Source organism: Homo sapiens, chromosome 17, assembly GCF_000001405.40.
Source record: "Homo sapiens chromosome 17, GRCh38.p14 Primary Assembly".
Taxonomy (NCBI): domain Eukaryota; kingdom Metazoa; phylum Chordata; class Mammalia; order Primates; family Hominidae; genus Homo; species Homo sapiens.
In genome coordinates, this window is record NC_000017.11 from 5,376,632 (window position 1) to 5,403,825 (window position 27,194).

Consider the following 27,194-nt stretch of genomic DNA (forward strand, 5'->3'; position numbering starts at 1 on the left):
TAGTACTTTGCCTCTGGTAGATGTTTAGTAAATGTTTGAATGAATGAATAAGTGAGTAAGTAAATAAATGTTATCCTCTTAGTTCACACTTGCTACTGAGTGTGAACTTGCTACTCAGTTTTGTCTTCATTTCCTAACTCCTCCCAAATTTCTGCAAGTAATAGTAGAGGATTCTAAGGTATTATTTCTATTGAATGGCATATTGTAAGTCACTTAATCTTTTTATTTTTCTGCTTATGAAACAGTTTTGAGGGAAGAGTATGTGGCTTACAAGATACGACTTGGCCAGAAATGTCTTTTCTATAACATACTGAATGTTAACCTGACATGGCACCTGCCCTGAAGCTCTAAGTGGCTTAATGGTCAAAGTCTTAATTTTTGAACCATTAAAACAACATCTGAGATTCTGGTTACAGAAAATCTTTAGCTTCTTTATTTCCTTTCACTCTCACAAACCCAATAATCATTTGTTTCTTGAATCCAGGCACTGCGGGAGTTGGTATTAAAATACCGTGAGGACATCATTAATGTGCGGACAGCAGCAGACCACGTAGAAGAAAAGCTGAAGGCTGAGATACTTTTCCTAAAAGAGCAGATCCAAGCAGAACAGTGTTTAAAAGAAAATCTTGAAGAAACTCTGCAACTAGAAATAGAAAACTGCAAGGAGGAAATAGGTGAAGATAAAAGTGATGTAGTTTAGAATTAGAGTCACTAAATAAAACTTTAGTAAAAGAAGCAATACATGGCCATGGAGTCTGGAACACAGAAAAGCTTAGGAAAGAATTTAGTAAGGACTCAGTCCATTTTTTGTAGATATTCTGATATATTCAGATTCTGAATATATATTCTGATATAGTCAAATAATCAGAAATTCTGGTTATTTAAAAAATTTTTTTTTTTTTTTTTTTTTTTGAGACGGAGTTTCATTCTTGTTGCCCAGGCTGGAGTGCAATGGCGCGATCTTGGCTCACCGCAACCTCTGCCTCCCAGGTTCAGGCAATTCTGCTGCCTCAGCCTCCCGAGTAGCTGGGATTACAGGCATGTGTGCCAGCACACCCAGCTAATTTTGTATTTTTAGTAGAGACGGGTTTCTCCATGTTGGTCAAGCTGGTCTCGAACTCCTGACCTCAGGTGATCTGCCTGCCTCGGCCTTGCAAATGCTGGGATTACAGTTGTAAGCCAACGCGCCTGGCCGAAAACTCGTCTTTTTAGGAGTTCTGTGGCCTCTTTGGCAATTATTCATAGATAGGATTCTCAGTACTTGAACCCAGAACCAGGGGAACGTGATTCAATGGGTGGCATTTCCCTGCAGAGATGTGATACATGATCTAGAGGTAGTTTATGACACAGTGTCCATTTGCATGGATCCTGCTTTTCCCTGAGCCTAAATATGCTGATTGCTTGGTGGTAATTTTGAGACAGCCCCCGGAACCCATGTTCAGCATACATTTGAATCCTTTGGGGGGTGCTCTAAAATTTTAAAGAAAAAAATGTTCATGCACAATAATAGATGAATGCTAATACATCTCATTTTTTTCCTTCTAGCTTCTATTTCTAGCCTAAAAGCTGAATTAGAAAGAATAAAAGTGGAAAAAGGACAGGTAAGTCGTGAGTTTCAAATTAATTCTATCAGCAACCAGTGGTTATTTACTGACTCCTACTATGCTGCACCCAACGAATAAAAAATAGTTAAGGCATGGGCCCTGCCTTAAGGAACTTTTGTCTTGTGGGAAGAAAACCACGGGGTAAGGGTGTGCTGGTGATTTATTGAGAGTGCCCTGTGTGTCAGGCTACGTTAAACTGGAGGAGGTAAGGCTAAGATGTGACTGTGGCCTGGAGTTTCCAGTGTAGTGAGAAGATAGGCAAGGCATGGTCATAACATGTTATATGCTTAGAGGTACAGTAGAAATATGTATAAAAAACATTACAAACAAGAGATGACATTTTCTAGCTGGCTTAGTCCTCTTAGACATCATTAGTTCCTTTCATAGTAACCCCATTCAACTTCCTGACCTCACTGTTCCTTGATTTAGAGATTTTCACCTCCACCCTGCTCTCCCCTTCCACACACTGGGCTGCATTTTGCCCAACTGTGACATCTCACTGCAGCCTTAAGTTCCTTGACCACAATCTGCCATCCTTCCAGCTCTTCCATCGGAGTACCTCATTCAGACCTCCAGTTCTCTGAACTTCCCCTTTCATTCTGGTTTCAGCAGCTTCATGGCTTGCTTTCTTTCCCCTAGGTTGCATCTTACTGGCCTGCCTCTTCCCTTCATCTCCCACCACACCTGTCCCTATGGTCTTTGACTCCTTGTCCTGCTGCTGCCCTCACCTGACCACTGCCCAACCTTGGACTAGTCTTGCTGTCCCCAGCTGCTGATGCCACGAGACTTGGTGACACTGCATGCTCAAGCTGCCAGATGGGCCTCCAGTGTTCCTCATGCAGCCTTTCATGTGTCCTAAGTTGCGTCTCTTCCATTCCTCACAGTGGCAGTTTCAGAGTCACCTCACCTCAGCCCCCTCACTCTCAGCAGATGCTGGCCTCACTCCTCAGGCATCAGGCAGGGCCACCTTCAGCTACTGGGCTCCTCAATTACAGGTTTTCCTTTTATTCCCAGTCTTTTCTTTTTCTTCAGAGAATATCATGACCTGCTTCTGACCACAGTGTCATTGCATAGGTGCTTTGACTGAGTATCTCCGACTTTTCCAGATGTCCCCGCGCAGTGCCGGGCCTTGAACTTCTGCCTCTTGACTGATCTTTTCCATTATGCATGAACAGGCTCAGGTGTCTCATATTCAGAAGGAAAAAGTCTGTCTTTGGATTGCACTCCTCTCCCGAGCTACCACTCTTTCTTCCTCCCTCTGTTGCCACAGTCTTGATCATCATCACTGCCTGACTTCCCAGGCATCCCTCCACCTGCTGCAGTCTGCCTCCTGCCTCCACTTTGCTACTGATATTGCACCAGCAGAAATTACCAGCGCTCGAAATAACATCTCATCCTTTCCATTCTAGCTGCCACTCTTTGAGTTCAGACTTCACTCTCACCTGGCTTATTGTAACAGCCTAACTTTCCCTGCCTCCAAAATTTGTCCCTAAATCATCTCCATATTGAAATCAAGGTGATATTTAAACATTAGAAACTTGTTCGCGTCCCAGTCTAGTGGAAAGCCCTCCCGTAGTTCCCTTTATTTTACAGGATCAAGTCCATATCCTTAGCCCAGCCAGAGCTCTCCTGCCTCACACCTCTCTGCCTCAGTGCCTGTGGCTCCCAACGTGCTGTGCTGTAGGCCAGCCGAACATGCCACTGTTGCTGCATGTGTTTTTAGTGCGTGCCATCCATTCCCTCTTATTGGAGTATCTCTCCATCTTCTCCCCTTGTCACCCTTGTCTTTGCCCTGTAAAAATGTAGGAGTCAAATGTCATCTCCTCTAGGAAGTCCTTTGTAACTTTTCTGGCAGAATTAAATGCTTCTTTCTTCATCCTTTACATGTCTGTTTACCCTGATTTCTCCATTTTGAGGCCTTAGAATATAGTAGGCACCTAATAATGGTTAATGAAAGAATAGTTCAGGAAGAATACAGAGGGGATCCACAGAGCTGAAAGGGTGAGAGGAGTATTCCCAGTGTAGCCCGAGTGTCTTGGTGTAATTCTCCAGGCTCTAGGCTCTTTTAGGTAGTGCACTGGGGCCCAGAGGGAGTTTCTGTGAGTTTCAGCTTTTTCCTTTTTCACAGTTGGAGTCCACATTAAGAGAGAAGTCTCAACAGCTTGAGAGTCTTCAGGAAATAAAGATCAGTTTGGAAGAGCAGTTAAAGAAAGAGACTGCTGCTAAGGTAGTGTTTTCATTAGTCATTTAATTTTAAAAAGCAGGGCTAAGAATGCAGGATCACATCTTGCTTGTTGAAAAAAAAATATTGGTGCTTTGAAGTGTCACCTTTTAAAAAGTTGGCAAAACTGACAGCTTGTGAAAAGAAAAAACTTAAACGAATTGATCTATTCCAGCTGGGTTAAATCTTTTCTGCCAGGTCTGGAGGCCTGCGTCATAGGCTAGCTTCAGATAGTAGGCAGTCAGGGCCATTGACCAAGCCTGGGCACTGCCCAGTTAGAAGCACTGCTTTGAAAATGTCATTCCATTTGACTGATGTATCAAATCCTAAGAGAGATTGCATCAAACCAGGTTTGCTGCCTAAATTTTGATGAGTTCCGTTAGAATAAACGTGCATGTTGTGGGGGTAGTTTCCTAGAAATGGTCTTAGTGAGCTGAGTGGTCAGACCTGAAAGTGCAGACAGTGTTGCTGAACTGCTTGTTTTTGGAAAGGCTCCCACACATCCTGCTGGTTTTCTGTAAGAGAGACTGGGGATAGCTGGGGCGTATTCACTAAGTTTCCTGGTGGATGCTTGACTGTGGAGGTTGTCAGAGGAAGTCCTGTATGTATCCCTGTTGGTGTGACAGACACCGATCTTAGCAGCTGTTTTGGTGATTATCGTCACTGTCACCAGCTGCTGGGGGTGGGGGAGGGCAGCACTTTAATCCATTTCTTCCTTTGGCTTTTCATACCCAGTTCATCTCAGGACTTAGAGCAAGTAGTCTAGATGGCCTGCACGCTTGCCCTATAGATAAAGAGATTGGTCGTGTATAGGAGTGCGACGGATATCCACCCACCTTTCTGCCCTAGTAGTAGGTAACTACAAGTTACTGGATTTCCTAAGTAATTCGGCCCTTTGGCATTAATCTTCATTCAAAACTTGTATTTTTTAGGCTACCGTTGAACAACTAATGTTTGAAGAGAAGAATAAAGCTCAGAGATTACAGACAGAATTAGATGTCAGTGAGCAAGTCCAGAGGGATTTTGTAAAGCTTTCACAGACCCTTCAGGTGAGGCATTTGGGGAACCACATACAGAGCACGAAGGCAGTTTTGGGGGACAGAACCTTGCCGATCCCTGACTTGACCACTGGCAGTAGCTAGAGGTTTAGAGACTGGCTGCTCCTACCTCCACCCCAAATGTCTGACTCATCATTCAAGCCAGAAACCTGGTGTGTTCTTCACACTTGGCCCATTTTTCTTTTTCTGTATGCCTTGCCAATTTTGCCTCCTTATGAGTAAAGTACTGACTCCTTAGCATACCATGTAAGACTCTTCCCAACCAGGCCCACCCCTGTATTTTGCTCATCTCTCTGCCTTGTTTTACATGTTTAACTGCTTGTGGTTCCTCGCCCACAGCGTGGTGTTCTGTCTGGTAAGCATCCTCATCTCATCCCCTCCTGACTCCTTTCTTTCAAGGCTCAGCGTAGGTCTGTCCCCTCTGTGGAGCTCTTCTAGGTCCCTGAGCTGGGCTAAAGTGCCCCTCCCTCTGCCATGCTCCCTCGGGCACTCTATGAATGCCTGTAATGACACAATGACATTTAGAATATTGTGCTAAAACTAAGTTTTTTTCCCAATGGAACTTCGGATTTTTTTTTTTTTTTGGAGACGGAGTCATGCTCTGTTGCCCAGGCTAGAGTGCAGTGGTGTGATCTTGGCTCACTGCAGCCTGTGCCTCCTGGATTCCAGCGATTCTCCTGCCTCATCCTCCTGGGTAGCTGGGATTACAAGTACACACCACCAAGCCCAGCTAATTTTTGTATTTTTAGTAGAGACAGGGTTTCACCATGTTGGTCAGGCTGGTCTCAAACTCCTGACCTCAGGTGATCCACCTGCCTCAGCCTCCCAAATTGCTGGGATTACAGGCGTGAGCCACCGTGCCCGGACTGGAACTGTGGATTCTTCAGGATTGGGAGTCAGGTCTCATTTGTCTCCATAATCCCAACACATTACACTTTAAAATCCTAGTCTGGGCCAGGCATGGTGGCTCACGCCTATAATCCCAGCAGTATGGGAGGCTGACATGGATGGATTACCTGAGGTCAGGAGTTTGAGACCAGATTGACCAACAATATGGTGAAACCCCGTCTCTACTTAAAATACAAAAATTAGCCGGGCATGGTGGCGTGTGCTTATAATCCCAGCTACTTGGGAGGCTGAGACAGGAGAATTGCTTGAACCCGGGAAGTGGAGGTTGCAGTGAGCCAAGATCATGCCACTGCACTCCAGCCTGGGTGACGGAGCAATACTCCATCTGGAGGAAAAGAAAAAGCAAGCAAGCCAGGTGTGATGGCAGGCACCTGTAATCTCAGCTACTCGGGAGGCTGAGACAGGAGAATCACTTGAACCCGGGAGGTGGAGACTACAGTGAGCCGAGATCACACCATTGCACTCTGGCCTGGGCTGGCCTGGATGATGAGCAAAACTCTCCCCCCCAAAAAAAAATCCCAGTCCGTTACACGGTAGCTTTGGGGAATTATTTTTAAAATTTTTAATTGTTCTTGCTGTCTCCCTTTGAAGTGACTAGTACTCTGGTGAGTTAATCTGCTACATCTCAGCTAAACCAGTCAAAGTTCAGAAAATCTAGGCAGGAGCCACCTGTAGTTATCTCACCATTGTTTCTCCAGGTGCAGTTAGAGCGGATCCGGCAAGCTGACTCCTTGGAGAGAATCCGGGCAATTCTGAATGATACTAAACTGACAGACATTAACCAGCTTCCTGAGACATGACACCCTCATGGCAGGATTCTAGCCTGCACTTTGGGTTTTTAACTCATCTTTAGAGCAACAGTAATTATTATTTAACTCTTAACTGAAGAAAGAGAAGTCACAACAAAAGGAAGACTGGAGAAATGCTTACTTCTAGAGGGAGAAGACTGTGCGGCACAGGAAACAGCAAACAGTGGGGTGATCTGCAGCCCAGAGACCTTCAAATGCGAACACTATAAACTCCAGGCTTGATTCCAACAGGCGTGGGATCAGATTTGGTGATGGAAAAAGCGCTGTTTCCTTGCCTGCTTTCTCCAAGACAGATTTTCGGAACACATTTCCCTACCCTAAAGCGACATCCCAGTAGTGTTTGGAATTTTCTGTTCATAGATATTGGAAGAGAGAATTTGCTTTATCTGTTGTCTAGAGCTCATCAGTAACAGTATTCAGTTAGCAGACAGAAGTGTAGTATGCTGTATGAATATTTTATATTAAAATATGAAGGTTTGAGAGCAGGCCATTGGCTACTGACTGTATTTTGTTTTCCTTTTACCATTTTATCTTATCTTGCTTTGGAGGACCTTAAATGCTACTGAAACTTACCTGAGAACCATAGGACTGTGGCAAACAAAACCAATTCATGAAGTGAATTAATGATGAGGATCTGAAAACTTGGCTGGGGCTATATATACTGGAAGTTGAAGGTTAAAGGAAAAGCACAAGAAACTTTGGAAGCACTTTTTCTGCATACTTAGATGATCTTCATGGGCCCACAGGGTACCAGGATAAAGCCGAACTGGTACCATCTACTCTTTTGAAGTGTTTTAGTCTAGTTATTGGATCAGTGAAAAACATTAGTATACGTTTTTAAATAGGCTAATTTTTCAACTTGGATCATTAGGCTTACGTACTACTTGTTTCAAATGTGTCAAATACAAAAATGGTAACTAGGTTGACAGATACTTTGTATTTTTCTTTTGAATTCAGACCTGGAATGTAAGTAAGTGACAATGCTTATGGAAAGCCAGTTAGTTAGAATTGGAAATCTGTCTTGTCATTTTACAAGCATTAGATTCCTTTCCTGTGTGAAGAAAGCCTCAGTGAAACAGGTCTTTGCCATAACTTTATGAAGTGCTACAGAAAGCACAAAGAATTGATTCATGTTCATCAATACCTGCTGAGAGTACTGTCCCAGGAATATCCAGTGGATGGATTCATCATCCAGGAGGTTCAAAAGTAAGATGGTTTTCAAATCATTTTTGAGACTGGTTGCATAACAGCAGGGTACCTGAAAGAGCCTTCTGGGAGTTAGTGAACTAGGTAGATTGTTTTGTTCACATAACGCCACCATCAACTTAAAGTGAATTGTCTTTGTTATAAATGAGGTCACTATGGACTTACCCTAAAGATCTTCTGTACTTCTGTCTTCCATAGGACAAATGATAAGTACTACATACCTCATCTCTTGGGTTATTATTGTAGTCTTGCATTCATGGTTATGAATTTAAAAATAAATACCAATTATGGAAATAGTACTAAAGGCTTGCCGCACATGAAACATTATTTTAATTGGTTTAAAGTCCCTTTATAAAGAGTGCTACATGGTTTAGATAAAGGAAACATATAACTATTGAGTTACAGGGGATTTTATTAATTATAAAATGCAATCAATTTAAATTACGTAGGTTTAAGACTAGTCCCTTGGATAAGCCCCAAGCGAATTTGTCTTCAGATTATTAAAATTAGTGCTGTAAATCAGGGTGGGCAATTCACAGCCTTTCTGAACTGACTGAACTAGAGCTTGCAGTGAAGTGTTCTGCTGAGACTGAGCACCTTACAGATATTTTTCTCCAGAAGATGGTGCTGGGTAATAAAATCATCACAATTAGGGAATGGTTAGTGGTCTCTACTGTGGCAAATGCCAACTGTTGGAATTCACTTTATTGTAGAAAAACCCAAACTGAGACTCTTAAGTTTTGTTTAGCAATGTGTTTCTGGTATGAAACAAACTACTGTGTCACTGTCCAGGTAGGAAACAATTCTTTCAACTGGGTTTTCAGCATAAATGGGAACTGATGTAGAAGGCAGGATTTAGCCCTTCTAGGCAAAAGAAAAGCTCAGTTGGGTTTCACGAGTGTTCCTGTGCTTATATTCAGTCTGTGCCTACATGTTCTCATGCATGTCTAACCTGATTTACCTCTTACCTGTAACCTACCTTATCATGTGGCTTTTAATTGACAGTCACTCAGCCATTTCTAAGCAGATATAGTAGTACCTTTCAGAACTCACATTGGCAAGTGTAAAAAGATGACTTAAGGTGAAGTGAGGACAAAATCACATTCTGCATACTAACCTATTTTTTTCTCCCTTTAAGGTGCTAAACTTGCACCTCATGTCCACTCAGTAACAAGTATTGGGACGTAGAGCACAGCCTCACTCAGCTCTGAAAGGTAATACAGCTTGTGAGGAAGTGAGCCAGCAGTGGCCTTTGCAATTGTGGATCTTGAGCTCTGCTCTCAGCAGATTTCAGGTGTAACCATTTGTTAACTGTACTGAAGGTGTGTCCTCAAGAAGAAAGTGTTCAAATTAAAAAAGCTGCTGCCAAGTACACTGTGTGGTCTTCTCCTTTGAATCCTAGGGTTCTATCCCTCTTCAGAGTCATGTTTCTGGTGCTGCTACTTTAAAACACAGCTCACAAGAATAACTAACTTGCTCAAATATGGAGAAAACTCAATAGGGTTCAGGGAGGTTCTGGCAGTGTGCAGTGTGAAATAATCCTGAGTCCTTGCTGAACACAACTGTAGGCTTGAGTTATAAAGCACATTCCAAATTTTAAATAAAAGCATTTACTCAATTATTATAAAACAACATATTTAAAAAGATGAACCACACCAAAGGTCATCAAAACACCTTTTTATAAATTAGATAATTCTACCTGTTTTACAATATGGGTTTAAGCCTTCAATGGTGTTCAGTTCAGGTGTGAGTCAGCTCCTGGTGGTGTCAGAAGTTTACATGATTGCGGATATCATTGATTTGCTTCACCATTTCCCTTATATGTTCACCCCTGTAAAATTGTAAAGTCACTCACTTTTGGAATTATAATAAACCATTTATATGGATTCTTAAGAATTTAAACTGGTAATGTTGAAACATCTAAGAACTGCTTTGCTAAAATTAACAGCTGAAGGTTTCAGGTGGATAGCAATAGTGTTCACTATTCATTTAAGGTGGCAAACGGTGCAAGTACTGGAAATATTTTTGAACATAATTACTGTAAAATACCTTTGGCCACACAACAAAATCATGTTACTAGAAGGTCATCCCTTTCAATCCTCCCACCATAGTCATTTCTTAAGTCCCTATGTATCATGTGGCTCTCATCCCAGTAATTACTTGACATGCAAATACCAAGATTCAGGTTTCTATTAAGACAGGTTGATTCTGGCATACTGTAAAGGAAAAACTATCTCACGATAATAGCTGATTGGAAGTATTTACTTACTCCTCTTTCAGGATGGACTGAATGCACTTTCGCTGGTAGGCACTGAGAATAATGGTGGGTTTTGGAAGACTCAACACCTTCTCCATCTTTTGCTGTTGATAATCCTTTTTCATAGTAACCTTAAGTATTAAAATAATAGATATTTTGGCAGTGGTTTGCCACACATTTTCACAGTATCTATTTGAATCTGTTCTTTTTACATTTTTGTAAAATTTTCTGTAGAATAAGTGCTTTAAGAAAAATTACCAAATTTAGCTAGTTTGGATCTATTCCTACCTGTTTGATGGCATTGCCCAAATGTCGAAGTTGATCAGGTATCAGCTGTAATTCTTTCTTCATGTCTCGCTCACTATCAGAGAGAACTGGGAGCTCAGAGTGAAAACTGTGAAGTAGTTTTTTCATCCTTTAGAAAAGGCAAGCAAACATCTCAATTTAAGGTCTCTACTAATTAGGAGAAACATAATCACAAGCTCATAATTCATGAATCTGGTGTTTCTGAAGTAGGCCCCATAGGAAGGGTTAGGGGAGAGCCTCATGTTTTCCCCAACATATACTTCAGAGGAGAGGCAGGGGGATCAGTTCAGTTCCGTAGGTATGTAAGCACCTGCCAATGCCCATTTTCTTAAATATCGTTGTTAGTACCTGACTAGGTAACTAAATGTTATACAGCCCACTGACCTGTTCATGATATCCTCTTGTTTTTCTTTAGCTTCCTCATATTTGTCAGCTAAACGCTCAGCCATTTCCCGCAGACTTTTCCTAATGATGTAAGACACAAGAGACTCTTGAGGTCCACCCCTTGATGCTGAAACCACCTAATGTGGCTCAGCATCTTAGGGTGAGAATATGGTTCCAGTCTTACTGACCTATTGTATTCTTCTTATTTTTGACACTTACCTCTCTTCTCGACAATAACTGAGATCTTCTAGTTGTTTCTTTTTTTGGTCACATAATAATTTGACCCTTTAAAAACAAAAAGAAATAGAGTTTATTCAGAAGCCAGGTCTAGGCTACCATACAGCATCAGCTACCAGCCAGGGATCGATGGTTTGTGAACACAGGACATCATACCTCCGCTGAATCTCCTCCTTTGCCAAGTCCTGTTTGAGAATGTACTGCTCTCTGAACACCTGGGTGGCTCTGCTGAGGAGCTGAAGGCATTCTTCAGGAGGAGGGGCTATGTCCTTTTCAGAAGCTCTTAAAAACAAAGTTTCTACCTTTATTTTCCTTAGCTGAGTAAAACAACTGAAAATAAATAGACTCAAGTCACAGGTGCTTTTTAAACTTTTTATATTTTTAATTTATTTATTTGAGATGCAGTCTCGCTCTGTCACCCAGGCTGGAGTGCATTGGTGCTATCTCGGCTCACTGCAACCTCCACCTCCCAGGTTCGAGCAATTCTTCTGCCTCAGCCTCTCGAGTAGCTGGGATTACAGGTGCCCACCACCACGCCTGGCTAATTATTGCATTTTTAGTAGAGACAGGGTTTCACCATGTTGGCCGGGCTGGTTTTGAACTCCTGACCTTAGGTGATCCGCCTGCCTGGGCCTCCCAAAGTGCTGGGATTACAGCTGTAAGCCACCGTGCCCAGCCTAACTTGAGACGAGTCTCACTGTCGCCCAGGCTGGAGTGCAGTGGTGGGATCTCAGCTCACTGCAACCTCTGCCTCCCAGGTTCAAGCGGTTCTCCTGCCTCAGCCTCCCAAGTAGCTGGGATTACAGGCATCTGCCACCACACCCAGCTAATTTTTTTTTGTATTTTTAGTAGAGATGGGGTTTTGCTGTGTTAGCCAGGATGGTCTCGATCTCCTGACCTCGCGATTCACCCGTCTTGGTCTCCCAAAGTGCTGAGATTACAGGTGTGAGCCACCACGCCCGGCCTAGCCTAACTTCTTTTTAAACACTTCCTGTTTATCATTCTCAGGTGCCACTTCCCTCCTGCTCCCCATTCACTAGCTGATCAAATATATCCAGTTTCTTCCAAATTTATCACAGTAAAAAGTATATGAAACAGATGAGGACAGAAAGGATGCACAGTAATTCTGAAGACAGAAGAGAACCCATTCATAAAACCGCTATGCCCAAGGTTGCATACTTCAAAAATGCTGGATTGGCAACACTACGTTGCAAAATGCTTCTAATATGCTTTTCAAAGGAATCTGGGGTTTCAGCCAGAACACGGAGGGGAGACTCTGCCACTTCAACATCTTCTCGAGTACAAAGCAGGGGAGGAGACGCTGGATGGACTGTACTTCTGCAAAATAAGTAAGTAAATTGAATTCTACCATGGAGTGATTTACTGTATTACAGGAAAGCAGAAACCACATTAATCCAGAACTTTCAGAATATAAAATAAAGTGTAACTTTTGTAAAAGTGCAAGAATGCATGTTTTCCACCTTGAAAAGGTCACTTTGGGAAGCTACACCCTTATTATTCCAATGCCCCTGATTTGTGAAAGCATTTCTGACTGCCATTTCCAGTTCTTTTCTAAAAGATCAAGGCAGCACAAACACCTAGCATGGATTCTTGGCAAAGGACTTGAAAGCCAGTTTATAAGCCGGAGCCACAAACATAAATTACTTATTTGTTAGGTTTAGAGTTGATCAAAACCAATATTAAGCCAAGAAACTGCTGTATATACCATATTGGTTCTATATAATTTCATTTCTAAAAACTATTCAGTCAAGTGCAAATACTCAAACTTCAAAAAGAGCTTAAAAGATCTCACAGACTTCGGCAGCATGGCAAGTGACTTACTCTGAAGGCAACAATTCTAACGTGAATGTTTGGTTGGGCGTGGTGGCTCACGCCTGTAATCCCAGCACTTTGGGAGGCCGAGGCAGGTGGATCACTTGAGGTCAGGCGTTCAAGACAAGCCTGGCCAACGTGGTAAAACTGTCTCTACTAAAAATATAAAAATCAGCTGGGTGTGGTGGCACACATCTGTAATCCCAGCTACTTGGGTGGCTGAGGCATGAGAATCGCCTGAACCCAGGAGGCGGAGGTTGCAGTGAGCTGAGATCACACCACTGCACTCCAGCCTGGGTGACAGAGCAAGACTCTGTCTCAAAAAAAAAAAAAAAAAAAAGTGAAAGTTCATGAAATAGCATAACTTTATAGACAACTTGTATTTCAGGGAGTTGGCAGAAATATGATCTGAAAGTATCCAGATAATTGGCCTGGCACGGTGGCTCATGCCTGTAATCCCAGCACTTTGGGAGGCCGAGGTGGGTGGATCACCTGAGGTCAGGAGTTCAGGACCAGCCTGGCCAACATGGCAAAACCTCATCTCTACTAAAAATATAAAAATTAGCTGGGCATGTGGTGTGCGCCTGTAATCCCAGCTACTAGGGAGGCTGAGGCAGGAGAATCACTTGAACCCGGGAGGCAGAGGTTGCAGTGAGCTGAGATCGTGCCACTGCCCTCCAGCTTGGGCAACACAGCAAACTCCGTCTCAAAAAAAAAAAAAAAAAATATCCAGACAATTAATGTTTATTTTTCCCCTTTGGGATTCATATTTATTCTGAAGTAAGCTAGTGTGACTAGGTTTTATTTTACTAAATGTACTGTGGGTGTTTAAAAAGTATGCTGAGGTAACTTACAGGTAATTTTTTCTCCAGTGATTTTATTATTTTTGTTTGGTCTTGCTAGCTTTTAGTGCCTTCAGTGTAAATAACACAAAATTTATATTTATTTTTACATCCAGATAGTACAACTTAATCAAGCTTCAAAGACTATGGAAGATCCTCTAAGGACAGTAAACTACTGCCAGTATTAGGAATTTATGTCAGCATCCAGAGGTGCAAGCTTTGAACGGACAAGGGGTGGGGGTGTTGTCTAGTGTTTGAAGCTCCAGTGACTTTTGTTTTTGGTACTCATATTCCTACATTTATGTAACTCAGAATGATCTTCCAGGGCTGTTGGAAAAGGAACATAGTGATTACAGCTTAATTATCTGAGTTCCTTAAAGGAGCAAAGACTAAGAGTTCAGCTTTTTTGTTTTTTTTTTTAAAAGACACAGGGTCTTGCTCTGTTACCCAGGCTGTAGTGCAGTGGCATGATCATGGTTCACTGCAGCCTAAAACTCCTGGGCTTAAGCAATCCTCTCACCTGAGCAGCTAGGACTACAGATGTGTACCACCATGCCTGGCTAATTTTTTTGTTTTTTGTAGAGATGGGGGTCTCACTGTTTTGCCCAGGCTGATCTCGAACTCTGGGCCTCCCAAAGCATTGGGATTACAGGCATGAACCACCACTGCACCCAGCCTGAGTTCAGCTTTATTCCAGTTTACATAGTCTACAGTGTCCCTCAGGCTGGCAGAGATGGAGAAATTAAAGAGTATGAGTATGGACTTCTGAGTCAATGAGACCTGCATCTGTATCCCAGCTCTATTTGTTACCTGTGACTTCAGCATTTACTAACCTCTCGATCCCCGTTTCCACTTTTATAAAATGGAAATGACAGTGCCTTCCTTACAGGGCTGCCCTGATGATTCCAGGAGGCAGTGCGGGTACGTGGCTTACTTCTGAGCTTGGCGTATGGTCACAGCTTGATAATTATTACTCATATCGATAATGGAATTTGGTATTCAATTTTAGTATTTTTTCTCCACACTCTGAAGAAAAGCTCCTGACTCTCAGCTAGGTGCAGGGGATGCCAGAAACTATACCTACAATGAAACCTTATAGAGATGATGGCAGGAACAGAAATATCCATCCTTCCAACCCTCAAGTCAGAAGCCAAAGTATAAACCACACATGTATAGCTTCAAGTTGGTTACTGAGTGCATTTTCCCAACTTAGATATTGCAGAATTAACAAGAGCTGTGTGGAGAATATAAAATGGGACGTACAATAACGGCCATATGAGGCATTCATAGGTACTGGTGATGCAGATCATCGTGGGTCCCAGAATGTCAGGTACAATCCAAAATCCTCGAATTGGAGCTGGCTGCCTGGAAAAACACAGTCATAGTTAAATTACAAAGCAGCAAATGCAATGGAACCAAGAGCAAAGACATGACAGGTCCGCGGCCTTCTCAGGCCTGGGCTGAAGTTGCTTGGGACATCCTATCAGTACCATAACCTCAAAAGTGGTGGCTTGGAAACCTTTAATGCAGCTCCACACTAAAGTCTAGAGCCCATGTGACTAAGTCACTCAGGAATCCCTAACTGTAGCGTGCTGCTGACTGTAATCTCAAAAGTTACACGTTACACTGAAGATCTCTCCAACTTGCACATAAGCCCCAGCTATCTTTGTTTGCCTAGCCCAGTGCTAACAAATTAAGTGCTTAGAAACTGTTGAATGAACAGAACTACCGAGTCTCTCTCAATGAGGCCCAATGTCAATGTCACAGGAAATCACTTGGCACGCACAGCGTGTATCTCTCTCAGTCTTCCTTCCCACTTCAGTGAAGACACTGGAAACTGAGACCTCAGATGGGAACTGTCATTCTGCCAACATGCTCTCCTAGCGGCTCCCATGCCCATCCCACCTGCATGCCTACAACACACATCTGCCCCCGAATGTGGATGCCGCCTCCTCTCACACCTTCTGAAAATTGTACCATCAACTGTGTCGTTTCAAAATCTCCCTATTATCTACTTCCCCTCAGCTTGCAAACTCATGTCTCTTCCATTTAAAATACTCTCATTTCAATATAATGTCCAGTTCCCCTTAACCTATTCTTTCTCGCCATCCCTTTAGAACCAGCAGTCTTTAAACAGCAGTTGAAAACACTAGTTCCCCTTCCATAGCTCCCATTTACCTTTTTGGACAAGACATGGAGACGATATCTGGAAGGTTGTAAACTTTAACTTTTTATTATCAGTGTGAAATCTACACACTACTGGGCTATACACTATGTAACCAGTATCCAGGTCAAGAATCAGGACACTGCAGGGGGCCTCAGGGTTCCCATGCGACCTTCCCTGGTCATAGCCTTTCACTCCCCAGAGAAGTAGCCGCTACTCTGACATTCATAATATCATGTCTTTGCTTTGCTTTATAGTTTTCCTATCTATGTATTCACTCCTAGGCAAGACTGTTTAATTTTACCTGTTTCTGAAATTGATATAAATGGGATTTTGGGGTTTTTTTGAGATAGGGTCTCACTCTGTTGCCGAGGCTGGAGTGCAATAGTGCGATCACGACTCACTGCAGCCTTGACCTCGTGGGCTCAAACAATCCTTCCTTCTCAGCCTCCTGAGTAGCTGGGACCACAGGTACATGCTACCACAGTGGCTAATTTTTTTTTTTGTTTGAGACGGAGTCTCACTCTGTTGCCCAGGCTGGAGTGCAGTGACATGATCTTGGCTCACTGCAGCCTCCACCTCCCAGGGTCATACGATTCTCCTGCCTCAGCCTCCTGAGTAGCTGGGATTACAGGTGCCCGCCACTACACCCAGCTAATTTTTTTTTTGTATTTTAGTAGAGACGGGGTTTCACCACGTTGGCCAGGCTGGTCTCGAACTCCTGACCTAGTAATTCGCCTGCCTCAGCCTCCCAAAGTGCTGGGATTACAGGCGTGAGCCACCACGCCTGGCCTCACCTAGCTAATTTTTAAATTTTTTTGTAAAGGGTCTCACTATGTTGCCCAGGCTGGTCTCAAACTCCTGGCCTCAAGTGATCCTCCTGCCTCACCTGACAAAGTGCTGGGATTATAGGTGTAAGCCACCATGCCCAGCCTACATGGGATTTTATTATGTATTTTCCTTGTTCACTTTTCTTTTTTTTTTTTTTTTTTTGAGATGGAGTCTCACTCTGTCACCCAGACTGGAGTGCAGTGGCATGATCTCAGCTCACTGCAACCTGTGCTGCCCGGGTTCAAGCAATTCTCCTGCCTCAGCCTCCCGAGTAGCTGGGATTGCAGGTGTCTGCCACCATGCCTGGCTAATTTTTGTAGTTTTTAGCAGAGATGGGGTTTCACCATCTTGGCCAGGCTGGTCTTGCACTCCTGACCGTGTGATCCACCCACCTCGATCTCCCAAAATGCTGGGATTATAGGCGTAAGCCACAGTGCCTGGTTTCACTGTTCACTTTTCAAGCTGGTACAGTTTGCTATCCTTCTCATTCCCCACCAAGCGTTTTCCCTGTGGTCCTCTGTATTGCCAAACCTAGATTATGTCTATTTCTTAGTGTATGCTATTTGTCTCATGTCTGTGTATACTCCATGTCTAACAGAGTGCTTATGAGATATCTAGTAATTGATGAACAGAATAAAGGGAGGTATCTAGAATACCTTCCAGGTTTCTACTGGGGATAACTGGGGTGATATGGCACCCTTCAGAAAAATGGGACACAGGAGAGAGAGCAGATTTGGAAAGACAGAAGATGAGTTAAGGGGACATCTGGAGTTTTATGTTCCTATAGGATATCCAAGTGGAGGAGCCCAGTAGGCAGCTGGGTATGTGAATCTGGAGTTCAGAGTGGTCTGGGCTAGGGCGATATGGATGCGGGAACTGTCAGCACTGAAGCCATGATTACGGCAGAAGTTACTCAGGAAAGGACCTAGAAAGAATAGAGAAGACCCAAGGAAAGAGTTGTGAGCATTACTTATAAGCAGTGAGTAGAGGCAGAGGAACCCGCCCAAGAAGGAAACTTGAGAAAAGGGCTGCTGGCGGGACTGAAGGAGAACCTGGAGGGACAGACGTCAAGGATGCCAAGGAGAATGTGTTTCAAAGAGGAGACATGGGCAACCACATCAAATAAACACAGCAATGCAGTGAAGGGCAGACACAGTCTCTGCTCTCATGAAACATATACATTCCGGTAGTGGCGACAGACATTAAAAAAATGCAAATATAAATAGTGTAATATGTGCTACAATGGATAAGAGAATAGGAGAGCCCCAAGTTAGACTGGGGAGTCAAGGGTGTTCTCTGTGAAGAAGTGACATTAAGATCAGAAAGAAGGGTAGGAGTTAGCCAAGAGAAGACAGCAAGCTGGGGCTGGGGCTGGGGCTGGGGAAGGACCTTCCAGTCAGGAAACAGTATGTCGAGTGGCCCTGGAGAGGAGAAAGCTTCTGATGAGCAGGACACTCTTAGGGGAGAAGTATCACGTCTGCAACTTTCAAATGACTCAGCAGTGAATACTGTGGATGTGAGTGTAACGGATACAAACGTATCTGAACTGCTGAAATGAACAATTGTTTTCTGATATACAAGGGAGGGAGAGTCCTTACCTGCAGGGCAATGGCTTCGTACAAAGGATGTGTTCAACAAAGCATTTCTGTTCTGTAGAGAGTTCCTGTAAACTATCCTTATCTTCTTCATCTACCATGGAAGACATTACATAAATGAAATGATGCTTAGACAAGTCTCCAAATTAAAATGCTAATGATATTGGGTTAAATGCAGTGAGGTTCTTGTCTGAAAACATTGCTTCTCAAGTACTATGCTTTTCTGACATAGGCATACGCTTTCCCAGGGGGTCTAGATTTCCGCCCCAAGAAGTAGGATTTTCCTTCGTAATGTCTCTGAATGCAAAAATGTTTCACTAAGAACAGTGAAATCATTCTCTTCTAGGGTGCTGCTTACCCACACTGATTTTATTTTCATAAAGGTTGAGTATCCTTTATCCAAAATGCTTGGGATCAGAAGTGTTTTGGATTTCACATTTTTTTTTTGGATTTTGGAATATGTGCATTATACTTAGTAGTTGAACATCTCTTATCTGAAAATCTAAAATCCTAAATGCTCCAATGAGCATTTCTGTTGTCATGACAGCACTCAAAAACTTTTGTAGCTCACTCAGGTTCAAGGATGGAAAAAAGAAAAGTTTTGGATTTCAAATTTTTCAGAGTAGGGATACTCAATTTATAACAGCTTTATTTTTTTTTGGATGGAGTCTCCCTCTGTTGCCCAGGCTGGAGCGCAGTGGCCCAATCTCTGCTCAATGCAACCTCCGGCTTCTGGGTTTAAGTGATTCTCCTGCGTCAGCCTCCTGAGTAGCTGGGACTACAGGTGGACGCCACCACGCCCAGGTTTTAGTAGTAGACAGGGTTTCACGGTATTGGCCAGACTGGTCTCGAACTCCTGAACTCAGGTGATCTACCTGCCTCAGCCTCCCAAAGTGCTGGGATTACAGGTGTGAACCACCACGCCTGGCCTGTAACAGCTTTTTGAAACGTAATTCACAGTACCATACAAGTCATCCATTTAAAGTATACCCATTAAAGTATACAATTCAGTAAGTTTTTAGTGTAAGAATTGTATACCTGGCAGGGTGCGGTGGCTCATGCCTGTAATTCCCAGCACTTTCGGAGGCCAAGGTGGGTGGATCACCCGAGGTCAGGAGTTCAAGACCAGCCTGGCCAACATAGCGAGACGCCGTCTCTACTAAAAACACAAAAATTAGCTGGACGTGGTGGTGGGCACCTGTAATCCCAGCTACTCGAGAGGCTGAGGCAGGTGAATCGCTTGAACCCAGGAGGTGGAGGTTGTGGTGAGCCAAGATCATGCCATTGCACCCCAGCCTGGGCAACAAGAGTGAAACTCCGTCTAAAAAAAAAATTGTATACCTATCATTAACAATTTGGAATATTTTCATTTCCCCAAAAGAAACCCACATAACCATTAGCAATCACTCCTCAGTTTCTACCAAACTTCCCAGACCTAGGCAACTAATCTACTTTCTGTCTCTGTACATTTGTCTATTCTGGACATCTCATATAAACAGCCATACAGTTGTTTGTAACTGGCTTCTTTCACTTAGCATCTGTTCACAGTTCATCCATATTGGAGCATGTATCAGTACTTCATTCCTTTTCATTGTTGAATAATACTCTGTTGTATAGACACACCACATTTTATCTATCCATTCATCAGCTTATGGACACTTGGGTATGTGGCTTCTGGGCTATGATGAATAATGCTGCTGTGAACACTCATGTACCAGTATTTGTGTGGATACAGGTCTTCATTTCTCTTGGAAATATACTCAGGACTGGACTATCAGGTACATGGTAACTCTATGAATAATCATTTGAGGAACTGCCAGATTGTTTTCCAAAGACTGTACCATTTTACATTTCTATAAGCACTGTATAAAAGTCCCCATTTTTTCCCACATCCTCAACACTTGTTAATGTCCATCTTTTTCATTTTAGCTATACTAGTGGATATGACGTGATACCTCATTGTGGTTTTGTGGTATCTTATTTCCATAATGACTAATAATGTTGTACATCTTTTTATATATATGCTATTTGCCCAACTGTATCAAATGCTAAGGGTTCTTTATATTGTTCTCCATACGAGTCCATTATCACACAAATATTTTCTCTCATTTTGTGGGCTGTTTTCCCTTTTGTAATAGTATTCTTGAAGAAAAAAGATTTAAATTTTGATGGCCAGGTGCGGTGGATCACACCTGTAATCCTAGCACTTTGGGAGGCTGAGGTGGGTGGATCATTTGAGCCCACGAGTTTGAGACCAGCCTGGGCAACACGGTAAAACCCCATCTCTACAAAAAACACAAAAATTAGCTGGGCATGGTGGCTCACTCCTGTAGTCCCAGATACTTTGGGGGCTGAGGCAGGAGCACTGCTTGAGCCCAGGAGTTCGAGACTGCAGCAACCAATGACTGCACCACTGCACTCCCACCCAGACAACAGAGTGAGACCCTCTGTCTCTTAAAAGAATTTTTTTTTTTTAAATAGGGACATTACCTTGGATTATCCGGGCAGACTTAATGTTACCACAAGTTTCTTTAAAAGTGAAACAGAGTGATACAACATGAGGACTCAACCCAGCCCACTGTTGCTGGCTGCCTTTGAAGATAGAGGAAGAGACTACAAGCCAAGGAATGTGGCAGGAGCTGAAAAAGGGTAGGAAATGCATTCTACCCTAGAGCTTTCAGAAAGGAAAACTGCTGTGCCAACTTAAGCCCAGTGAGAACCATGCAGGACTTCTAACCTACAAAACTATAAGATAACAAATTTGTCATGTTTTAAGCCACTAAGTCTGTGATGATTTACAACAGTAGCAGTAGAAAGCCAATAACGGATTCAGTCTTTTTACCATTAAGCATTGTGTTGGTTCCAAGTTTTTTGTAGATGAAAAGTTTCCTCACTAGTTTGAGGAAGTTCCTTTCTATTAAGTTTGTTGAGTATTTTTAACATGAAAGGCTGCTAGATTTTTTTTAACTGCTCTCACTCTGTGAATAATTGGTATTAATTCTTTTTTTTAATTTATTTTTTATTTTCATTTTTGAGATGGAGTCTTGCTCTGTCACCCAGGCTGGAGTGCAGTGGTGTGATCTCGACTCGAATACAGCAGTCTCTACCTCCCAGGTTCAAGCGATTCTCCTGTCTCAGCCTCCCGAGTAGCTGGGATTACAGGCATCCGCCACTATGCCTGGCTAATTTTTGTATTTTTTTTTTTAGTAGAGACAGGGTTTCACCATTTTGACCAGGTTGGTCTTGAAGTCCTAACCTCAAGTGCCTCGGCCTCCAAAGTGCTGGGATTATAGGCGTAGGCCACTGCACCTGACCGGTATTAATTCTTTAAATGTGAATCCATGTGGTCCTCAGCTTTTCTTTTTGGATAGTTTTGATTACTAATCAATCTCTTTGTGTCAGTTTTTGTTTGTTTGTTTTGAGACGGAGTCTTGCTCTGTCACCCAGGCTGGAGTGCTGTGGCACGATATCGGCTCACTGCAACTCCGCCTCCTGGGTTCAAGCGATTCTCCTGCCTCAGCCTCCAGAGTAGCAGGGATTATAGGCGCACACCACCATGCCTGGCTAATTTTTGTATTTTTAGTAGAGACGGGGTTTCGCCATGTTGACTAGACTGTTCGCAAACTCCCCTGACCTCGGGTGATCCACAAGCCTTGGCCTCCCAAAGTGCTGGGATTACAGGCGTGAGCCACTGTGCCTGGCCTAACTTTTTTTTTTTTTTGAGACAGAGTCTCGCTCTGTCGCCTGGGCTGGAGTGCAGTGGCATGACCTCGGCTCACTGCAACCTCCATCCCTGGTTCAAGCGACTCTCCTACCTCAGCCTTCCGAGTAGCTGGGACTACAGGTGTGTGCCACCACACCCAGCTAATTTTTGTATTTTAAGTAGAGACAGGGTTTCACCATGTTGGTTGGCCAGGATGGTCTCAATCTCTTGACCTCATGATCCGCCCGCCTTGGCCTCCCAAAGTGCTGGGATTAAAGGCATGAGCCACTGCACCCAGCCTTTTTTTTTTTTTTTTGAGACGGAGTCTCGCTCTGTTGCCCAGGCTGGAGTGCAGTGGCGTGATCTTGGCTCACTGCAAGCTCCGCCTCCCAGGTTCACACCATTCTCCTGCCTCAGTCTCCCGAGTAGCTGGGACTACAGGCGCCCGCCACCACGCCCGGAGAATTTATTTTTGTATTTTTAGTAGAGATGGGGTTTCACCATGTTAGCCAGGATGGTCTCAATCTCCTGATTTTGTGATCCACCCACCTCGGCCTCCCAAAGTGCTGCGACTACAGGCGTGAGCCACCGCACCCGGCCTTTTTTTTTTTTTTTTTTTTAAAGCAAATTATCCCAGACCCTGATTGAGTCAGTTTTGGTAGTTTTTTTTTTTCTTGGAATTTGTCCATTCCATCTAGATTATGTAAATGGCATACATTTGTTCATAATATTCCTTTATAATCTTTTATTTCTGTAAGGTCAATAGTAATATCCCTGCTTTTATTCTTGATTATAGTTAGTCTAGCTAAAGGCTTGTGAAATGTGGTTGATCTTTTCAAAGAACCTTTCGGTTTCACTGATTTTCTCTATCATTTTTCTATTCCAAACTACTTTTCTGAAATCTATTAAATCTATTTTTCCTCTGAAATCTATTAAAAGTGCAGAGAGTTAGTAAACTCACCTGATCCAAGAAATTTGTGAAGTTTATGAATCCAAGTTAGCCCAACACTATGTACACCAGCTTCATGAGTACAGTGATATCTTGAAGGACACTTGGGATCTGCAAATGGAATGATTAATGATACAAAGGTAGCCAGTGGATAACTAAAAAAATTTACCTCAAATTTGTTGGCTACTCCACATTAGCCTACAAACGCATTTGTTGATGGAAGGTTTTATAAAAGACTTTCATATTGTTAGGGGTTTTGAAATTTTAAAATTTGAATTCAAATTTCAAATATATTTTAAGTACAGATATACCTCAGAGATACTGTGGGTTTGGTTCCAGACCATTGCAATAAAGCGAATACAGAAATAAAGTGAGTCACACAAATCTTTTGGTCTCCCAGTACATAAGAACGTTATGTTTACACTATGCAGAAAGTTATGTTTATACTAGTAGGTACGCAATAGTGTTACGTCAAAAAATATGTACATACCTTAACCATTTTTTATTGCTAAAAAATGCTGACACAGAGACAGCACGTGCTGTTTGAAAAATGGTGCCGATAGACTTGCTTGATGCAGGGTTGCCACATCTTTCATTTGTTAAAAAAAAAAAAAAAAAGCACTGTGAACCACAATAAAATGAGGAGGTATGCCTATGTTTTAAAAAGTATAAAAAATGGCTGGGTGTGGTGGCTCACGTCTGTAATCCCAGCACTTTGGGAGGCCGAGGTGGGAGGATCACAAGGTCAGGAGTTCGAGACCAGCCTGATCAACATGGTGAAAACCCGTCTCTACTAAAATACAAAAATTAGCTGGCCGTGGTGGCATGCACCTGTGATCCCAGCTACTCGGGAGGCTGAGGCAGGAGAATCACTTGAACCCGGGAGGTGGAGGTTGCAGTGAGCCGAGATTGCGCCACTGCAATCCAGCGTGGGCGAGAGTGAAACTCCGTCTCAAAAAAAAAAAAAAAAAAAAAAAACTCAATCCAAATGTTATTTTCTAAATATGAACACAATGAGGTTCACCAAAACATAAATACTTGCTGGCAAGTAACTCATTTATGCTTTTCTCTGTGCATTTATTTAGTTCTTCAAAAGAAAATGGTGGTTAAAATAGCAGCTCTGTAGAAAACCTATGCTTATGCTTGCATACATCGACTTAAATAAAATTGTTGAAGCAAATGCACTTCTACAGCATAGTTATCACAAAAGACTTTAACACAACGGCTCAGGGAACAGTTCTATCAGTGTAGTAAGGTGTGAAATGAGAAGTGAAGTTTCGTATGTCTTCATAATGTTGACTTACAGATAGTTTCAAAGGTTATTTTCAGTTTTGGATGCTCTTTTTGTTTGACAATCATTTATAACTAAGAAGTATGAGTAGTTGTTATACAATTTTAATTAACTGATTTTGAAACAAAAATTTCTGTACCTCCTTTGAGCCCCAGTATCAGTAAGACAATCCTGAGACTAAAAGATAAACTACTGAATACCTATTATTATGTATAAATATTTATCTCTGTAACTCAATATTTTTATTATTAATATTAATAATAATCTTATTGGCCGGGTGTGGTGGCTCACGCCTGTAATCCCAGCCCTTTGGGAGGCCAAGGTGGGCGGATCACCTCAGGCCAGGAGTTCAAGACCAACCTGACCAACATGGAGAAACCCCGTCTCTACTAAAAATACAAAATTAGCCAGGCGTGGCGGCACATGCCTGCAATCCCAGCTACTCGGGAGGCTGAGGCAGAAGAATCGCTCGAACCTGGGAGGTGGAGGTTGCGGTGAGCCGAGTTGTACCACTGCACTCCAGCCTGGGCAACAAGAGCGAAACTCCGTCTCAAAAAAAAACACAAAATAATAATGTTATTAAACTAAAACAAAATACAGAGATAAGGTATATATTAAAGCTGATAAAATGGCAACAATAACCCATAAAACCCCTAAATTAAATTTTCCTTTAATCTAACAGTCTCACTTTGTGGTTAGTGACTTTATCATAAATTAATATTCTAAAGCTGATATATTATTTTTCTGTCTTATATATTGAGGTTCCATAAAACATCTTAGAAAACAGCATTCTGCTATAAAAAGTTTAAAAAACCCTCATCTATGGGAATCATCTGTTTGCATAATTAAAATATTGAAAATTTTCTTTTCATTTGCGTATGTTTTAAGACTTAAGGCTCAAATCATCTCATTAAATCTAACATTGTTAAAATGGCTTTTCAAAACCTGTAGTGCTAACATCAACAGAAAAGTCTTAACACTGGGGTGTAAAACAAATTGATTACTAAAAAGAGCCAACATTTACTTAACAGGAAATTTGTTAGATACCACCCTATGCTATACTGTAGCCATTTCACTTTGTCACTAAGAAATCTGGTGTGCCTCAGTGATTATAATATGCCTTGTTCAGCACAATTAGGAACAAGTCAAAAATTTCTTAGTTTCACATATGAAAATGTTACTCTCATTAGAAGAACCAAGAAAAGGCTGGGCATGGTGGTTTATGCCTAAAATCCCAGCACTGTGGGAGGCCAAGGTGGACAGATAAGGAGTTCGAGACCAGCCTGACCAACATGGTGAAACCCCATCTGTACTAAAAATACAAAAATTAGCCAGGCCTGGTGGCGCATGACTATAATCCCAGCTATTTGGGAGGCTGAGGCAGGAGAATCGCTTGAACCCAGGGGGCGGAGGTTGAAGTGAGCCAAGATCGTGCCATTGCACTCCAGCTTGGGCAACAGGAGCAAAACTCCATCTCAAAAAAAAAAACAAAAAACAAAATACAAAAAACAAAACCCAAGAACAAAACGTCCACGTCTACACTTAAGATTTCCCAAAGATATACGTATCTATATGAGGAAACCAATTAGTTTATGTCACTTTACTTCATTTGGTCTGTTTCCTCATCTATAAAATTCTTAGACAATATAAATCTCAAAATACCTTAATTAGACAAACCCAATGTACACTCTTTGCTGGTTTGTTATGTAAGGAATTCTGCCCCCTTAAATGTTTTGCCTATACTTTAGTACAGAGTTGAGGCCGTTATTACCAGAACTAGGCAAACTGGCTAACAAGAACTGTAAGGAGAGTAGGTCAAACTGCTACAAGATTGAAATCCTCCTATGTTGCAGTGAATGACACGATTTCATTCTTTTTTAAAGCCAAATAGGGCTGGGCATGGTGGTTCACACCTGTGGACCAGCACTTTGAGAGGCTGAGGCAGAAGGATCACTGGAGCTCAGGACTTTCAGCTTGGACGACATGGCAAAATCCCGTATCTACCAAAAATACAAAAATTAGGCGTGGTGGTGCACACCTGTAGTCCCAGCTACTCCAGAGGCTGAGGTGAGAGGATTGCTTGAGCCTGGGAGGCAAAGCAGTGAGCCAAGATCACGCCACTGTACTCCAGCCTAGATGACACAGTGAGATCATATCACACACACACACACAAAAGCCAAATGGTATTCCACTGTGTATACAATGCCACATTTTAAAAATCCATTTGGGGCCAGGTGCGCGGTGGCTCACATCTGTTATCCCAGTACTTCTGGAAGGCCGAGGCAGGTGGACTGCTTGAGGCCAGGAGTTTGAGACCAGCCTGGCCAACATGGTGAAATCCCACCTCTACTAAAAATACAAAAATTGCCAGGCGTAGTGGCTCACGCCTGGAATCCCAGCACTTTGTGAGGTCGAGGTGGGCGGATCACAAGGTCAGGAGTTCGATACCAGCCTGGCCAATATGGTGAGACCCCCGTCTCTACTAAAAATACAAAAATTAGCAGGGCGTGGTGGCACATGCCTGTAGTCCCAGCTACTAGGGAGGCTGAGGCAGAAGAATTGCTTGAACCCAGGAGGCGGAGGTTGCAGTGAGCTGAGATGGTGCCACTGCACTTCAGCCTGGGCAACAGAGCGAGACTCCATCTCAAAATAAATGAATAAATGAAATAAAAATATAAAAATTAGCCAGGCATGGTGGTGGGTACCTGCAATCCAGCTACTTGGGAGGCTGAGGCAAAATAATCGCTTGAACCTGGGAGATGGAGGTTGCAGTGAGTCGAGATTGCGCCATTAGACTCCAGCCTGGGTGACAGAGCCAGACACCATCTCAACAACAACAACAACAACAACAAAATCCATTTGGTCTGTCGATGGACACAGGTTGATTCAGCATCTTAGCTGTTGTGAATAACACTGCAATGGGCATGGGAGTGTAGGTATCCCTTCAACCTATTATTTCCTTTCCTTTTGACATACCCAGTAGTGGAACTACTGA

At 42.7% G+C, this 27,194-nt stretch overlaps 2 protein-coding genes across 11 annotated transcripts in view; one reads left to right on the forward strand and one right to left on the reverse strand.

The window, feature by feature from the left end:
- RABEP1 (rabaptin, RAB GTPase binding effector protein 1) overlaps nucleotides 1-9,709 on the forward strand; it is a 104,057-nt gene extending 94,348 nt beyond the window's left edge. For 7 of the 8 annotated variants that reach the window (XM_047437039.1, XM_047437038.1, XM_011524060.3 and 4 more), the window contains 5 exons: nucleotides 485-674; nucleotides 1,546-1,601; nucleotides 3,733-3,831; nucleotides 4,758-4,874; nucleotides 6,491-9,709. In XM_047437039.1, the coding sequence (XP_047292995.1) occupies nucleotides 485-674; nucleotides 1,546-1,601; nucleotides 3,733-3,831; nucleotides 4,758-4,874; nucleotides 6,491-6,592 (564 nt within the window). In that variant the 3' untranslated portion in view covers nucleotides 6,593-9,709. The remainder of the gene's footprint in view (nucleotides 1-484; nucleotides 675-1,545; nucleotides 1,602-3,732; nucleotides 3,832-4,757; nucleotides 4,875-6,490) is intronic. The other variant, NM_001083585.3, reaches the window with a different exon arrangement.
- Nucleotides 8,202-27,194, reverse strand: part of NUP88 (nucleoporin 88) — a 34,830-nt gene continuing 15,837 nt past the window's right edge. For 2 of the 3 annotated variants that reach the window (NM_001320653.2, XM_047436155.1), the window contains exons 8-17: nucleotides 22,921-23,019; nucleotides 18,260-18,350; nucleotides 14,930-15,031; nucleotides 12,171-12,329; nucleotides 11,148-11,321; nucleotides 10,974-11,039; nucleotides 10,755-10,835; nucleotides 10,353-10,479; nucleotides 10,077-10,195; nucleotides 8,202-9,638 (exon numbers count right to left, since the gene is read on the reverse strand). In NM_001320653.2, coding sequence (NP_001307582.1) covers nucleotides 9,575-9,638; nucleotides 10,077-10,195; nucleotides 10,353-10,479; nucleotides 10,755-10,835; nucleotides 10,974-11,039; nucleotides 11,148-11,321; nucleotides 12,171-12,329; nucleotides 14,930-15,031; nucleotides 18,260-18,350; nucleotides 22,921-23,019 — 1,082 coding nt within the window. In that variant the 3' untranslated portion in view covers nucleotides 8,202-9,574. The remainder of the gene's footprint in view (nucleotides 9,639-10,076; nucleotides 10,196-10,352; nucleotides 10,480-10,754; nucleotides 10,836-10,973; nucleotides 11,040-11,147; nucleotides 11,322-12,170; nucleotides 12,330-14,929; nucleotides 15,032-18,259; nucleotides 18,351-22,920; nucleotides 23,020-27,194) is intronic. The other variant, NM_002532.6, reaches the window with a different exon arrangement.